Raw genomic sequence first — 17,777 nt, forward strand, 5'->3', positions numbered from 1 at the left:
AGGATAACTCCTACTAATGGAAACTAGGCACTTCAATATTATGCTTCATTGAGGATTTATAATTAGAGATAGATAATAAGATAGTTTCATCAAGTGGATGTTAAGGTTTCATGCTCTCTGATTCAGTGAAGGACAAAATCCTTTTTGTCTTCTCATATTCCTTTTCTCTGTTCCTAATTACTGCCTACTCCCCTTTAGTCCCTTCTCTTTCTTTCTTTTTTCACTTTCTCTCCCTTTTTTTTTTTTTTTTGAGACGGAGTTTTGCTCTGTTGCCCAGGCTGGAGTGCAGTGGCACAATCTCAGCTCACTGCAACCTCCATCTCCCAGGTTCAAGCGATTCTCCTGCCTCAGCCTCCCGAGTAGCTGGGATTACAGGTGCTGGCCACCATGCCTGGCTAATTTTTGTATTTTTAGTAGAGACAGGGTTTCACCATATTGACCACACTGCTTTCGAACTTCTGACCTCAAGTGATCTGCCTGCCCTGGCCTCCCAAAGGGCTGGGATTACAGATGTGAGCCACTGCACCCAACCACCTCTCCTCTCTTTTATCTTCCTTTGTTTTTCCTCCCCTTCCATTTCCCATAAGAGTGAATGCTTGAAGGAAGACTATGTTTTGGACACTGACATATTCTTGGCACCCACCAAATCATCTGACACAGCGCAGGAGATCAAGTAAGTGTTGAATGGATCAGTGTCATTCTACTTTCTATCTCCTTTTCTATTTTCTTTCTTCTAATTCCTTCCTTTTAAAATTCTTTCTTCATTTATTGTTTCTCCTCCCCTTTCTCTTTTTCTTCTTATCCTTATCATCTTCCTCTTTTTGCTTTCATTTCCTAGCACCCCCTCCCCACCAGCCCCCATTCTTCCTGTCTCAACCCCTTTCTCTTCTCCATTCAGGAGATGTCTTCTCTCAAAGGATGGCCTTCTGCTCTGACCTCCTTGTTCTTTGTTCTGCCTCTGGTTGCAGCCCTGTACTATATTTCATGGGGTGGGGAATAATGTGGAGGAGTCCATGGAGGGTGTTTACTTTGCTGTTTCACCCCACTTATAGAGCATGTATGACATCTGGAGGACTTCGTAATAAAGTTACTCTTTACTTGGAGATTCACGAATCTGGCTCTGCCTGTCCTCCGCTGTTGAGTGTGGCCTTGCAGATGGAGTTTTAGAGCCATGGTTCTCAAATTTTGATTGTTATCAATATCACCTGAAAGCTTGTTAAAAATGCAAGGCCCAAGCTCTGTCCTACTTCAGCTAGCCTGGACCTTTTTAGTCTTTATTAGCTTCTCAGGTGAATTTGATATAGATCAAAGTTTGACAACCATCAGCTAAAAGTCTCTGGCCATCGAACACATTCATTGGCCTCAGGTTATATTTCTGAAATGTCCTGGATTAAAATGCTTTTTTTCCTTTTAAAAACTTTTGTTATGCAGAACTTTAAATATAAGGTGGAGAGAAAAAATAAATCACCATGTATGCATCGTCCGGCACCAATAATTATCAACATCTTTTCAATCTCATTTCATCTCTCCCTGCAACGTTTCCCCCTCTCCGAGTATTTTAAAACAGACACGTAATTTTTCCAGCAAATACCACCCCACCATGTGTATGTGTGTATCTAACTATTATCTGACAGATAAGGATTTTTCAAAACATAAAACCACAGTGCCATTATTATTATATCTTACAAAATGGGGAATAATTCCGATGTCCCTGATTGTATTAAAAAATATCTTTTAAAGTTGGTTTGTTCCAATCAGAATCCAAACAAGGCCCACACATTGTATTTTCTTGACATGTCTCTTAAATCTCTCTAATCTCTAGTGGTTTCTCTCCTTCATACTCCCCTTTCAAGACGTTTATCTTTTGAAGAAACTGAGTCATTATCCTGTGGGATTTTCCACATTCTGGATTTGGCCATTTCCCTCCATGTGATGTTGATTAACTTGCTTCTCACCTGGTAGTTAGAGCTGGATGCTTACTTAGATTCTGCTGATACTTTGTTAAGAAGAATTCTTGCCACTTGTCTTATTTTTCAGCAACAGTACTTCATAGGTAGTGCTATTTACTCCCTTGCGTTGAATCAGGAGGCACACAATGCCTAGTTATCCCACTTTTTGGGCTATAAAGATTTATCTGTGAGTTCAGGTCTAGGTTGGTTCCCCAGAAGGAGATTCTGAGACAATGATTTGAGTGAAGTAGTTTATTTGGGACCTTATCCAGGGAAGCACAGTGGAGAAGTGAGACAGCGGAGGAAAGGAAGCCCCATGTAATGCATGGTAAGTTAATGAGAAGGCTGCTGTTGTGAGTTCAGGGCCTGTTCCCATGAGGGACCTCTAGGATCCCATACAGAACAAATACAATGAAGTTGTATTTCTACGGCTTTTATCTGTCATTGGTGAAGGGCTGCTAGGAGACTGGGGGTAAGAAGCCAGGAGGGACTCCTAACTTCTTTCATTCCTTTTGCATTTATTATACTGAAGTCTTCAATGAAGAACTTAACCTCACACCTGTTTGGCTAGTCTGGTTATTTTTGAGTGTGTAATGGACATTATTGCTAAGCATTTTGTAGAAATAATTGAGGCTTTGGATGATGTTTTCGTTTTCTAGGGAAGATTTATGCTTGCTTTTACTAGATGCATGAAAGGCACTAATACTCTAGGATCCCATTATTCCAGTTTGAGGGATTAAGATATTTTGAAGCTGAAATGCTTTCTCCTTGAAGATCTATTTTCAGTTCACCCTAACTTCTAGGATGGAGTCTCTTTTGCTTCTCATCCTTGGTGGGCCCTGGATCCCAATCCCTGTTGCTTTTCTCTCAAGGCTATCAGAGGTATCACTCAGTTTCTCAGCTTCTCTCTCCAGAATTGATATAAGCCCCAGTGGGAAAAGTAGCTCTAATGTGTTCTATACTCTGGCCTCCCTTTCCAATATTCAGATGTGACTCTGTGATACTATGATATATGATATATATGCAGTTGACCCTTGAACAATATGAGGGTTAGGGGCACCCATCCTAAATCCATGTTTTGGCTTCTCCAAAACTTAACTCTAATAGCCTGCTGTTGACTGGAAACCTTCCCAATAACATAAACCATCAATGAACACATATATTTTGTATGTTTTATATATATATATAAATAATTATTGTTGTCCGCAGTTCCTGGCTCATGACTCCCTAGTTCTTATTTCCTAAGTGACTAAAACAATAAGCATACCTTTTGTTAAAGAGTGGCTTTTTGTCCTTGGTTCATGAAGTAGCTTCAGAACAGCTTTGGAGCAATAAAAGTGAAAGAGAGTCTTTTGTTATAATGTTGGGGCACTTTAGGCCTCCGAAGCAGTCCTCAGAAAACAGAATATCTCTCTCTCTCTCTCTCTCTCTCTCTCTCTCTGACTTTCTACTTTCCTCCTTTCTCCTGCTCCTTTTTCTCTCCAAGGATGGCCATAGAAACTGAAAATATACTCTAATCTTCTCCTGCCTCTCTGTCTTCGAGCTGATCATAAAGAAATTCTTTGACCTACCTTGTCTGATTGTAGGACATAAGACTCATTTCAGAAGGGGTCCTGCCCCATACCCAGGAGGAAGGAACGTGGCACAGAGAGGCCAGGAAGAATCTGAACAGACAGGCCTTGCTGGGTATCTTAGTCCATTTTCTGTTACTTAGAATACCTGAAACTGAGTAATTTATAAAGGAAAGGACCTTATTTCTTACAGTTGTGGAGGCTGAGAAGTGCAAAGTCTAGGGGCTGCATCTGGTGAGGGCTTTCTTACTCACGGAGACTTTCTGCAGTGTCTGAGGTGGCACAGAGCATCAGTGATAGGGGGCTGAGGAAGCTATCAGGTATCTCTTCCTTTTCTTTTTTTTTTTTTTCCCTTTGAGACGGAGTCTCGCTCTTTTACCCAGGCTAGAGTGCGGTGGCACGATCTTGGCTCACTGCAGCCTCCGCCTCCTGGGTTCAAGTGATTCTTTTGCCTCAGCCTCCCGAGTAGCTGGGATTACAGGCATGAGCCACCACACCCAGCAATTTTTTTGTATTTTTAGTAGAGACAGGGTTTCACCATGTTGGCCAGGCTGGTCTTGAACTCCTGACCTCAGGTGATCCACCCTCCTCGGCCTCCCAAAGTGCTGAGATTACAGGTATGAGCCACTGCACCCGACCTCTTCCTCTTCTTATAAAGTCACCAGTCCAGTCAGGGGGTGGGGAGCTAGGGGAAGGATAGCATTAGGAGAACTACCTAATACAGATAACGGGTTGATGGGTGCAGCAAACCACCATGGCACGTGTATACCTGTGGAACAAACCTGCATATTCTGCACATGTACCCCAGAACTTAAAGTATAATAAATAAAAAAGATACAAAACTCTGAACTGACATAAAACAGGGCCAGTAAGTAAAATATGAGTGAGTGTAAGATATTTTTTAAAAAACAAACAATATATTTCCAAAAAAAAATAAAGTCACCAGTCCCGCTCCCATGATAACTCATCAGTCCGTTAACCTGTTAATCCATTAGTCTATGAATGAGTTAACCTATTCATGTGAGGAGAGCCTCCGTGACCCAGTCATCTCTTATGGGATCCATCTCTCAATACCGCCACATTGAGGATTAAATTTCAACATGAGTTTGGAGGAGACAAATATTCAAATCATAGCAATGGGTTTCTAAAGGTTATTAGATCATACCCTTTTTGTCCAATCGCATTTCTGCACAGCTGTACATCCATCCAGTCATCAATTATGCATATCTAATGAAGTCTCCATAAAAGGTCCATGAGGACATGGTACAGAGAACTTCTGGATAGCTGAGCACTTGGAGGTTCCTGGAGGGTGGTGGTCCTGGGAGGGCATGGAAGCGCCATGCCCCTTCCTTTATGCCTTATGCTATGTATCTCTTTATCTGTATCCTTTGTAATAGCCTTTATGATAAAGTGATAAACATAACTGTTTCCCTGAATTCTGTGAGCCACTGTTGCAAATTAATCAGACCCAGGGAGGGGGTCACAGGAACTTTAGTTTGTAGCCAGCTGGTCAGAAGCACAGGTAAAACAAGCTGGGGCTTATGGTCAGCATTGGAAGCAGGGAGCAGAGTGGGGAAAACAGCAGTCTTATGGGACTGAGTCCTCAATCTGTGTGATCTGACTCTATCTGCAAGGTAGTGTTGGAAGTGAACAGGGTTGGAGAATGCCCAGCTGGTGTCCACCGCAGAATTGATTTCATGTTTGGTATGCAGGGACCCCCCACTCCACACTTAGTCACAGAAATCTGTGTTGATTGTTGTGGCATGAAAGCAGGGAAAAATAGTTTGTTTTTTTCTCCACACTTCCTTCCCAAGATCCTGGCCATGTATTTGTTTGTTTGTTTGTTTGTTTATTTATTTTCCACCATCTTCTTAGCTTGTAGATTTAAAATATATAGTTTCCAGCTTTCCTTCAGCCAAGAGAATTTTTCTACATTATGCATTACTGATTACTTTTTAAAAATGTCTATTTCTGGCCAGGTGCAGTGGCTCATGCCTGTAATCCCAGCATTTTGGTAGGCCAAGCCAGGTGGACCACATGAGGTCAGGAGTTCAAGACCAGTATGGCCAACATGGTGAAACCCTGCCTCTACTAAAAATACAAAAATTAGCTGAGCATGGTGGCATGTGCCTGTAGTCCCAGCTGCTCGGGAGGCTGAGGCAGGAGAATCACCTGAAGCTGGGAGGCAGAGGTTACAGTGAGCCGAGATCATGCCACTGCCCTCTAGCCTGGTCAACAGTGTGAGACTCCATCTCAAAAAAAAAAACAACTCTATTTCTTACTTAATGTTATTGTTTTATTTACTAGTTACTGTGGGGGAGATTATTGTTTTATATCATTATAAATGGGCTAAATAAAATTTAAGTTATTGATTGTTAAAATGTTTCATTTCTGAAGAGCTGATCAATATTGGAGCATAATCCATTTATAAATTTGAAAACTTCTATATTTATGTAATGAGGGGTTGTCCCTATTTAGATATATAAATTCTTATAACTTCTAAGAATGTTATTCTTAACACCTTGTTGCCACCTAAAACATAAAGTACAAGTCTTCTCTGATATTTGTCCAAATTGATAGGGTTTCTATGCTATCTTCTGAAAGCTTTTATATTTATTTATTTATTTTTTGAGATGAAGTCTCACTCTGTCGCCCAGGCTGGAGTGCAGTGGCATGATCTTCGCTCACTGCAACCTCCGCCTCCCGGGTTCAAGCAATTCTCCTGCCTCAGCACCTCCCAGTAGCTGGGATTACAGGCACGCGCCACCATGCCTGGCTAATTTTTGTATTTTTAGTAGAGGTGGGGTTTCATCATGTTGGCCAGGCTGGTCTTGAACTCCTGACCTCAGGTATCTACTTGCCTCGGCATCCCAAAGTGCTGGGATTACAGGTGTAAGCCACCGCACCTGGCCTCTGAAAGATTTTAAATGGACCTTATAGAATATAGAGAAAGATGATATTGACTTGTTGATAAATATTTGGTTTGTTACGTTACAAGATTTTTTTAAATTACCTTACAGAAGAAAATATTTAATTAGATGGAAGAAATAATTTGATGCTTAGTCAAATTCTAGTGTTGAATCATTTCTGAGATTATCGGTAATTAAAAAGTAATTAATTTAGCATAAAGTTTTTTATGATTATGATTCACTGCTATATTTCCATTTTTCTCTTTCCTCCTTTTTATTTCTCTGGTCCTTCCTTCTTCTTTCGTTTCCTCCTCACTCTTGCCCTGTCCTCTTCCTCTTCCTACTTTTCCTTTTTTTTCATCTCCTCTTCTCCCTTCCCCTCCATCCTTCATTCCCTTCCTCCTTCCTTTCTTTTCCAGATGTACCTTTAAGAGAAGGGACTAACAAATTCCCTGGAGCTCCAAAAGGGATCACAGAAATTCTTCCAATATTACAGGTATTACTACATATTTAGAAAATTTAGGTGAAACATGCAATTTTATTTTCAAATAATATTAAATTTGTAAATGCATAATGGTTAATTGTAGAAATAATTTTGAATATTTAAAATTTGAGGATTATATGGCTTTATATATTGAGAACTATAGGGACATTTTTCTACCTTTTATGAAGAATATTGTAATGAAGCCCCATTATAATTTACCATTTCCTCATATGCTAGCTTAAGAAACAAAATATTCCTAGTATAGATAAAACTCACCTCCTCTGCTACCCTCTCTTGATCACCTTGCCTTTCCCCTACCTAGGAGTAACTCCTATCCTAAATAATAATGTCTTCAAGATATTTGTATAAAAGATATTTATATAATGCATAGATATAAATGACTTTACTTGGTTTTTAATAACATGCCACCCCCCCTCACATTTATATTTGGGAGCCCCCTGAAATAGAAGAACAAGTGCTAATTTTAAAAGTGTTATTTTATCTATTCTCTTCCATACTTGGTATAATAGATAAAGTCCTAAGAAATGGTACCAGTCAAATGCCATCATGAATGTACAGGAGGACTGTGGGGTCGTTCTGAATTTACTTCCTCAAATGCACGTTCCTCTTCTAATGCTAAGTTTCAGGGGATGCCAACTGAGTACTTTATGCTGTCTTGTGTCTTCTGAAGAGAGCTAGATTTGAGAAATCTTAAATTGAGAACAGAGACTGACATGCATAAGAGATTGAGGTGGCATAATAGCTGTCTGCCAATGTTTTTCCCAGGGATCACTTACAGTGTCTGCTAAATATGCAGCTTCCTATCTCTCACTCCAGACATATGCAATCACAACTTCAGGTGTGAGATTCTTAAAAGTTCCTCCGGTAGATTTTTTTTTTTTTTTTGAGATGGAGTCTTGCTCTGTTGCCCAGGCTGGAGTGCAGTGGCGCACTCTTGGCTCACTGCAACCTCTGCCTTCCAGGTTCAAGCCAGTCTCCTGCCTCAGCCTCCTGAGTAGCTGAGACTACAGGCATGTGCCACCACACCCAGCTAATTTTTTGTATTTTTAGTGGAGGTGGGGTTTCACCATGTTAGCCAGGATGGTCTCGATCTCCTGACCTCGTGATCTGCCCACCTCGGCCTCCCAAAGTGCTGGGATTACAGGTGTGAGCTACTGTGCCTGGCCTCTCTGGTAGATTTTTAAGGACATTAGAGTTTGAGAATCACTGGCTTATGGGCTAGCACTTATTCTCTGAGGCAGAGTAGGGCAGACATAGAAATCCTACCTATAGGTACAAAGTGCTAGATTTTGCCTTGAGAGATAAATTTTCTGGCAATTAAAACCACTATATGAAATGGATTTCTTTTAAGGTGGCAATTTTCCCACAACAAAGAAACGAGACCATTTATGAACTGTTATTTATTTAAATAAGAAAAATGTACCCTCTCTTAAAGATAATTTATTACCATCTGCTGGGAAATCGTCAAAATAAATACAGAGAAGTCTGTGATGACAACAGTGTGAATTTTACCCCCTAAAGTTATGCAATACACAATCTGCTCAGCTGTACTGGGCATATGGTAGACATATTTTCTTTGGCATGGTTGAAGAGCATAGCATTTGGTGTGGAAACCTGTAGTTGAGTCTGGATTCTGATATTGACTATTTGTGTGATGCTGAATGAATTATTTTGTCTTTTTGAGTATAAGTGTCCTCATCTGGAAAATTATAATAGTACCTATTCCACTGAGTTGTTATATAGTTTAAATGAGATATTGTAATGTGGAAACTAGTACCTGGCACATGATAGCTGCTGTTTTTCTCTTATATCTTACGTAAAGCACTGAATCTCAACTTAGGGTTTTTAGACTCACTGAGGGGAATGGAGTTGAGGGGAAAAATGACGGTTTATTGTAAGGAGAATTCGCAATTCATAAGTTCACCCAGCAGAGTCTGTAGGTGGGATAAATTATATAACTTGCATATATGCATGCTACTATTTAAAAAATGTATGAGACACTATTGTGATTAAATGAAAGAAAACTTATTTCAAAGTTTTACTGAACACAGAGCATTTCTTTCTTCAACAAATGGGTTATAAAATTATAACTAATTTGTATCCACCTTATACTGGGCTATGGCAACTAAAAGATTATTAGTAAAGCATTTAGCCCTATACCTGCGACATGTTTTAGTTAAATGTCGACTGTGATGAGGATGATGAAAATCATAAAGATGATGGTGGTGGTAGTGATGGTGATGATGATGATGATAGAATGTGAGCGTGTGGGGTCTTTGAAATTTTTTGATGTTAAAAAGATACCCTGGCTGGGCGTGGTGGTTCACACCTGTAATCCCAGCACTTTGGAAGGCCGAGGTGGGCAGATCACTTAATATCAGAAGTTTGAGACCAGCCTGGCCAACATGGCAAAACCCTGTCTTTACTAAAAACACAAAAATTAGCCAGGCATTGTGGTGCCTGCCTGTAGTCCCAGCTACTTGGGAGGCTGAGGTGTGAGAATTGCTTGAACCTGGGAGGCGGAGGTTGCAGTGAGCCAAGATCGCACCACTGCACTCCAGCCTGGGCAACAAAGTGAGACTCTGTCTCAAAAAATAAAAAAATAAATAAAAGGGATATCTTTTAGAGACTTCTGTTTCTAGCAAAATGGCAAGATGAGCTGAACATCCTCCTGGGAGAAAACACTTAGAGATTTTGGACAGATTTGAACAAATATCCTCAAGCATGTTGCAGAGCTCATGAGAAAGTTGGGTAAATCCCAGGGGCCAAAATAGAAAAGGGAACTGAAAACTAGCATGGTAAGTTTATGAGTAGATGCTGCAGTAGGTTGATGGGCATAGTTTTTATACAAATATACTTAGATTTTTAACCACCATCCAGGGACAAGAGATGAGGCTTGGGCACATGAAAGATGGGGGTTGGAAAGGAGACTCATATGTAAAGTTAGAACCTACAAAAGATTATATCCTAGGAAAAGGTAGACTAGAAAAAAACTCTGGCCTGGGTATGGTGGCTCACGCCTTTTATCCTAGCCCTTTGGGGAGGCCAAGGTGGGTGGATCGCTTGAGCCCAGAAGATTGAGACCAGCCTGGGCAATATGGTGAAACCATGACTCTGCAAAAAAAATACAAAAATTAGCTGGGTGTGATGACATGTGCCTGTAGTCCTAGCTACTTGGGAGGATCGCCTGAGCCCGGGAAATCAAGGCTGCAGTGAGGCAAGATCGTGCCACTGTACTCCATTCTAGGCTGGAGTGAGACCCTGTTGCATAACAAAACAAGACAAAAAACCCTCCCCAAACCCAAAAAAACCCGCCTCTGCCTATGTATATAAGGAGATGCCTCAACTTGGGTAGTGAGAAGAGGAGTGGGTAGGAGAAAATTCCTCCTCCTAATGATTTATAACCTTGGGGCCTGCCCTCAAGTAGGTTTTTAATTTGAATTTACACTACTTGGGTTACTTAAGAACCTTCCTGAGCCTGCGATTCTTGAATGGGTATGTGTGTGTGTGTGTGTGTGTGTGTGTGTGTGTGTGTGTCTGTATGTATATATAGTATAAAATTGTTTATATTCTAGGAATGCCAGGATGATTTAACACTAGAAATACATAATGCAATACATTGCATTAGCTGATGAAAGGAAAACATGTGACTACTTCACTTAGACAAAGAGATGCAAAAAAAGCATTTGATAATATTCAACAACCATCTTCTTTAAAAGCAACCATCCTTTAAAAAAATAACTCTTAGTAGTTAGGAATATACAAGAACCTCTGTATCTAATAAGGGTGGCATCCAAAGACCTTGAGTAAATGCTATACCTATGGTAAAAGATTAAAAGCAGCCCTTTAATAGTGGTATAACCACATAAAGCTATCTGTCATTCTTCTGTTCAGCATGTCCTGGAAGTCTTAGACAGATGGGTAAAAAAAGAAAGCAGAGAAAAGGTGTAAGTACTGTAAAGAAAGTATGAACTTTGGGCTGGGCGTGGTGGCTCATGCCTGTAATCCCAGCACTTTTGGAGGCCAAGGCGGGTGGATCACCTGAGGTCAGGAGTTCGAGACAAGCCTGACCAACATGGAGAAACCCCATGTCTACTAAAAATACAAAATTAGCTGGGCATGGTGGCGCATGCCTGTTATTCCAGCTGCTTGGAAGCCTGAGGCAGGAGAATTGCTTGAACCTGGGAGGCAGAGGTTGCAGTGAGCTGAGATCACGCCATTGCGCTCCAACCTGGGCAACAAGAGCAAAACTACATCTCAAAAAAAAAAAAAAAAAAAAGAATAAAAGAAAGTATCAACTTTGTGTTTATTCACAGACAAGTACAATACATTGCAGCATATTTAGTAATAATAATCTTTTTTTTGTTGTTTTTTGAAACAGGGTCTCACTCTGTTACCCAGGCTGGAGTGCAGTGGCATGATCAGGGCTCACTGCAGCCTCTGCCTCCCGGGTTCAAGTGATTCTCATGCCTCAGTCTCCCAAGTATGTGGGACTACAGGTCTGCACCATCATGCCCGGCTAATTTTTGTATTTTTTGGTAGGGACACGGTTTCACGGTTTTGGCCAGGCTGGTCTTGAACTCCTGACCTCAGGTGACCTCCTGCCTTGGCCTCCCCAAGTGTTGGGGTTACAGGCGTGAGCCACCACGCCTGGCCTTAGTAATAGTAATCTAAATGTCCATTGGCAGAAGAGTGGATAAATTGGGACATATTCCTCCAAGTAACACCATTTCATTGTAGCTGTGAGGATAAATGAACTGGAGTAGGCTTATACTAGAGTAAACTTGGCATCATTGCAATTCCCTTCTATAGTTACCTTCGCATTATAGGGGGGAAACCTGGAACTATATTTCCAGCATCTCATTTCTGTATAGTTTTAAATTAGTCTTCCAATGAGGGGCATTTGCATGAATTTGTAATTCAGAAGAGAAGAGATACTTCTTAATCCATAGTGGCGAATAGATGATATGAGTTTACCAGGCATGCTGAGCAAACTCTTGCAATTCACCTGCTTCAGTGTAGTAGGTGCTTGAGGTTGTTGTCAGCTGCCTCCTAGATTCTTAGGTTCACAGAGGCTTCTGAGCAAACTCTTGAGAATTGCATGAAGCAAAATTGTCACTGGCAGCTTTCCTATCTTGGCTCTTTCATGCCTTGCAATGGTGATGAACACTTCTAATTCTGTGTATTAAGTCTTCTTTTGCTTGAAATATGTAGCGTAGTTTTGTGTTCATAACCAATCCCTGACTGACCCATTGAGTTACATATACCAGCAGGAATAAGTTTCAACAACATATGGTTGAGTTTTAAAAGGAGCCTACAGAGTTTTATAAAAGAGAATTAAAAATATGCAAAGTGATATTGCATATGGTTAAGGATACATACACATGTAGTAAAAGTTTAAAAACATGCACAAAATAGTAAAACCAAATTCAAGGACAGTGGCTACCTCTGGGGCAGAGAAGAGGAGTGGCACTGTGGACAGTTAACTATATATATAGTTATATATATATATAGTAATATATGTATAGTAATATATATAGTTATATATATATATAGTAATATATGTATAGTAATATATATAGTTATATATATATAACATGCATATATCTGTATGCTTTATTTCCTTAAAAAATCTGGAAAAATATGGAAAATTTGAAAGTTTGGGCAAAGCTGGTTGCTCTTTACATTATTCTCTATATTTGTCTCTCTGTGAGAATGATTACATTAAAAAGTGTTTAGTTTTTGAAAATCATGATGTAGACTAATATAGACTGTTGGGTTGATGGACTAAATTTCTAGTCTGAGATTCTGAAATTGTTTTAAAAAATCTTTTTCAAATTAGGTATATGAAAGTGACAAACTATGTGAACTCTTTTAAAAATGTACCAGTACATTTAGTACAATCAGAATTATGCAAACCATAAATGGAAGTTATATATATTAATACATGTTTGTGAAAGGTTTAATTTGTATTTGGAAAAATGGTGAAATTTATTTATTATTGTCACCCATATTGATAGCACTCCACATTTAGTCACAGATAAATACATGTAGTTAGAGACATAACATTGTTAGTGTTAGATAGACTATTTAAATTTCTGTTATGTGGTTTTGAATTATTGTCAAAAATTGGAAGTGTTGCATTTGATTTTCCCTTGTTTTATTTTTCTTTTTTGTTTATAAAATTATTTTAGAAAAATCCTGTGGAACAGTTACTTTTTGCTTATAAACTTCTTGACAGAGCAATCGGTGGAATAAATTTGAATTGCATGTTAACCTCTTTGCCAAATGGATCATCAGTAATTGACCACTGCTATGCCAAGGTAAGAATGGAAGAGTCTTAAATTAGATTGAAGTTTTACTTAACTGGGAAGAAAACTGGCCTTGAAAGTAGGTAAGTAAAGCATGACTTGTGTTGGCTTACCTCTCATAGGCCAGAAATATATTTCCCTCTTCCCAGAAGAGAGCTAGGAGAATGAGGAGTCTTTGAATTTGTTAATGAAGAGGACACTGATGAATTCTAAGGGCATATTTATTAGTGTTTAAGCAAACTGCAAAGGGCTGAGAAGTGAGCAGAATGTAATGGTTACAAATAAGATGATGATAACTTGAGTGATAATAGTATACAGCTATTTTTGTGTGTTTTGATAACTATATTTCTTTTTATTTCAACTCTGTTGGACCAAAGCGTACCCACCATATAGATGGAGATACTTACAAACCACTTGCCTCAAATAGTTTCATGATGGATTTGCATCTTGAACTAATTCAAGCTCAGCATCGAATAGCTGTTGTGCTTCTGGACAAATTGCAAGGTAGTAGTCACTAAAGCAAGTAACCATTCTGAATCAATTTTAAGCCAGACTCCAGTACAGAATCAATTTAATTTGAAAACTGTGTTCTTGTTGACTTAAGTTTTCAGATAAATTTCATTTTTTTCTACTTCCCTAATTAATATCAATAAAAACATAATTAAATCTTTCCTTATTGCTTTACACTTTGCATATTAAATCAGTTAGTAAACTTCTTAAAAAGTTAATTATGTTTATTTGTGTTATAGTAAATTATTTTTTGTTAATTCAACCAAGCAAACATTTACTGAGTACCTACTAAAATCCAGGCATCGTATTAGGCTAGGTGCCAATAAGACAGTCTACTTTTGAGCTTCTAGATGAGTAAGCCAACCATATCAGTTGAGGTTGATACATTTTGTAATAGGGGTGGGCTCAGAGTATTATGGGCACACAGAAATATCTATATCAAATAAGAAAGTCAGAGATGAGTTCCTGGCAGGGGCGTGTAAAGCATTCAAATAATATTGTATATAGAGCTAAATAGATTTATTCAAATGCTGGTTAATTTAAGAGTGAGCAGTGTAGACACACTGCTGATTGGTGCAGGAAGATGAAAAAAATATTTATACTGAGAATTCTAGCCAATGCAAGAAGATAAGAAAAATAAAGATATAAGGATTGGAAAAGAAGAAACAAAACTGTTCTTTCCAGATTATATGATTGTCTACCTAGAAAATGCAAAAGAATCTATCAGCATATACAAAAATAATAATATATAATACATAATATATAATATGTAATATATAATATGTAATTATATTTCTATACAACAGCAGTTAGCAAATATAATAAAAAGACATCATTTTTATATCAAAAAAATCTGTAAGGTACCAAGGGTTTCAATCTAACCAAAGAGCTACAAGTATGCAAAAAATTATAAGACTTTACTGAAAAATGTTAAAGAACTATATAAATGAAGGTAGATTGTGTTTATTGATAAGAAGACCAAATAATCAGAAAGATTATTCTGATTTCAGTTTTATTCAAATAGATCTATAGACTCAATGCAATTTCAATAAAAATTCCAGTAGGATTTTTTTGGGTAGACCTTTACAATCTTTTTACAAAATGTAGGTAGAAGACATAAATAGCTAAGACATTCCTGAAGGAAAAAAAAATCAGGTGAGTGTAGGGGATCTCGCTCTAACATAAGTCAAGATTTATTTCAAAGTGCTAGAATACCTCATATTCATTGGATAATTGGATATCCATATGGATAAAACCAAATTACATTTCTTACCTTCCCATACACAAAAATATCTTCCAGATGCACCAAAGAGTTAAATGTAAAAAAAAAATCTTAAAAACTTTTAGAAGAAGATATGGTAGAATATATTTCTAAGCTTGGAGTAGGGAAGATCTTCTTAAACAAGATTCAAAAAGTGCTGATCCTAAAAGAAAAAAATGAATACATTAATACATTTGGCTGCATTAATATAAATAAATTCTCATCATCAAAAAATTTTAAAGATAAGGAAAGCAAAAAAAAAATAAAAATAAAACCCCAAAACCACACCACACCTAGGAGAAATATTTGCAATTTATATTTCTTTTCTTTTTTTTTCAAATTAAATGCTTTTGCTTTTCCCTTCCAAGTCCCCCATACATTTTTCACAATTGTATTAGTTTGCCATTATTGCTGTAACAAATTACTACAAACTTGAGTGCATTGAAACAACACAAATATGTTATCTTACAGTTCTGGAGTCAGAAACCTGAACTGCAGCTCACTGAGCCAAAATCAAGGTGTCACATGCACATGTATGTTCATTGCAGCACTATTCACAATAGCAAAGACATGGAATTAACCTAAATGCCCATCAATGGTAGACTGGATAAAGAAAACATGGTAAATACACACTATAGAATACTATGCAGCCATAAAAAGGAACAAGATCATATCCTTTGCAGGAACATGGATGGAGCTGGAGGCTATTATCCTTAGCAAACTAATTCAGGGATAGAAAACCAAATACTGCATGTTGTCACTTATAAGCGAGAGCTAAATGATAAGAACACATGGACACATAGAGGGGAACAATAGACACTGGGGCCTTTCTGAGGGTGAAGGGTGGGATGAGGGAGAAGGTCTGGAAAAATAACTAATGGTACTAGGCTTCATACCTGGGTAACAAAATAATCTGTATAACAAACTCCCATGACATGAGTTTATCTATGCAACAAACCTGCACATGTACCCCCGAACTTAAAGCGAAAGTTAAATAATAAAATCAAGGTGTCAACCGAGCTGTATTCCTTTCTGGAGGCTCTGGGGGAGAACTTGTTTCCTTGTCTTTTCCAGCTTCTAGAGGCTACCTGCATTCTTTGGCTCATGACCACTTTCTATCTTCAAAGGCAACGATGACCAATTGAATCTTCCTTCTCATGCCATCTCTTTGTCTAGTGGCAATTTACTAACGATTAGCATGAACAATGTACAAAAATTCCAAAACATCAATAATAAGACAAATAACAAGACAATAAGCAAAAGAAAGAAGGAGAACTTCATAGAAAAGGAAGAAGTTATGGCCAATATAATTATTTTGTAAAGCTAAACATTAATCTAAATTATGACCCAGCAATGTCACTCATAGGTACATACCCTGTAAAATTTCTTGAACGTGTACACCAACTACAGATAGAAGGATGCTTGTAGAAGCAGTGTTCATAATAGCAAAAAACTGGAAACAACCCAAGTGTCCATTAATAGAGAATTGATAAAGAAACTGTGATATATTCATGTAAGGGAATATCACATGGCAATGAAAATGACCAACGTGGATGAATTCTAGAAACATAATTTTTGTTTTAAAACAGTAAGTTTTAAAAGACTACATTCAGTGTGATGGGAGGATGGGGTCAGAAAAAAATAAAATGAAAGACTACATTCAGTAGGATGTTTTAAATCAAGCTCAAAAATGAAAGCTTGGGATTCTTAAGGCTTATTATATATTATATATAATAAGTAACGTAATAATTGATAAAACTGTATATTAAAAAGTGACCTGCATATACATAAATTTATCATATAAGGAAAACTATAGTTATCAGGTATGCAGGTAGTCCATAAAGTCTGGAAACATAGACATATGTCCTTTGAAGACATTATGTATAACTCATCTGCATTTCCAGATTTTATTGACACTCTCTATCTATAAAATTAAAAAGAATGACCTTGAGTTTAGGACAGTGGTTCCTTTGTGGAGGTGGCAGGGAGATGGCGTAGGAAGGAAAAGCATATAGGTAGATGTAAGTTACTGCTAATGTTCCAGTTCTGGTGCTGGGTGGTGGTTTACATGTGTTCATGATATTAATGTGATTTAAAACATACATACATGATAAATATATTTTTGTATTTATAAAATAAAATATTCAAAGGTAATTTAAAAATTGAAAGTTTTCCTAGGTTGACAAAAGAATTAACATTCAACATAGTACTGGAAGTCCTAGCTAGAGCAATCAGACAAGAGAAAGAAAGAAAGGGCATCCACATTGGAAAGTCAGATTATCCTTGTTTGCAGATGATAACCATCTTATATTTGGAAAACCCCAAAGACTCCACAAAAAACTATTAGAACTGATAAACAAATTAAGTAAAGTTGCAGGATACAACTTTACTGGAGGAATCACATTACCTGACTTCAAATTATACTACAGAGCTATAGTAACCAAAGCAGCATGGTACTGGCATAAAAACAGTCACATAGACCAATAGAACAAAATAGAGAACCCAGAAACAAATTCACACACCTACAGTGAACTCATTTTGACAAACATACACTGGAGAAAAGACAGTCTTTTCAATAAATGATGGGAAAACTGGATATTCATATGCAAAAGAATGAAACTAGACCCCTCTCTCTCTCACCATATATAAAAATCAAATCAAAATAGATTAAAGACTTAAATCTAAGACCTCAAACTATAAAACTACTCCAAGATACCATTGGGGAAAATCTCCAGGACATTGGTCTGGGCAAAAATTTCTT

General features: G+C 37.9%; 1 protein-coding gene across 2 annotated transcripts in view; it reads left to right on the plus strand.

Annotated features, from left to right (window-relative positions):
- The window catches only part of CFAP54 (cilia and flagella associated protein 54), a 385,979-nt gene that overhangs the window by 51,477 nt on the left and 316,725 nt on the right, over nt 1-17,777 (plus strand). For both annotated transcript variants that reach the window (NM_001367885.1, NM_001306084.2), the window contains exons 15-17: nt 6,849-6,925; nt 13,129-13,257; nt 13,623-13,749. In NM_001367885.1, the coding sequence (NP_001354814.1) occupies nt 6,849-6,925; nt 13,129-13,257; nt 13,623-13,749 (333 nt within the window). The remainder of the gene's footprint in view (nt 1-6,848; nt 6,926-13,128; nt 13,258-13,622; nt 13,750-17,777) is intronic.

This window comes from Homo sapiens, chromosome 12, assembly GCF_000001405.40.
Source record: "Homo sapiens chromosome 12, GRCh38.p14 Primary Assembly".
Lineage (NCBI taxonomy): Eukaryota > Metazoa > Chordata > Mammalia > Primates > Hominidae > Homo > Homo sapiens.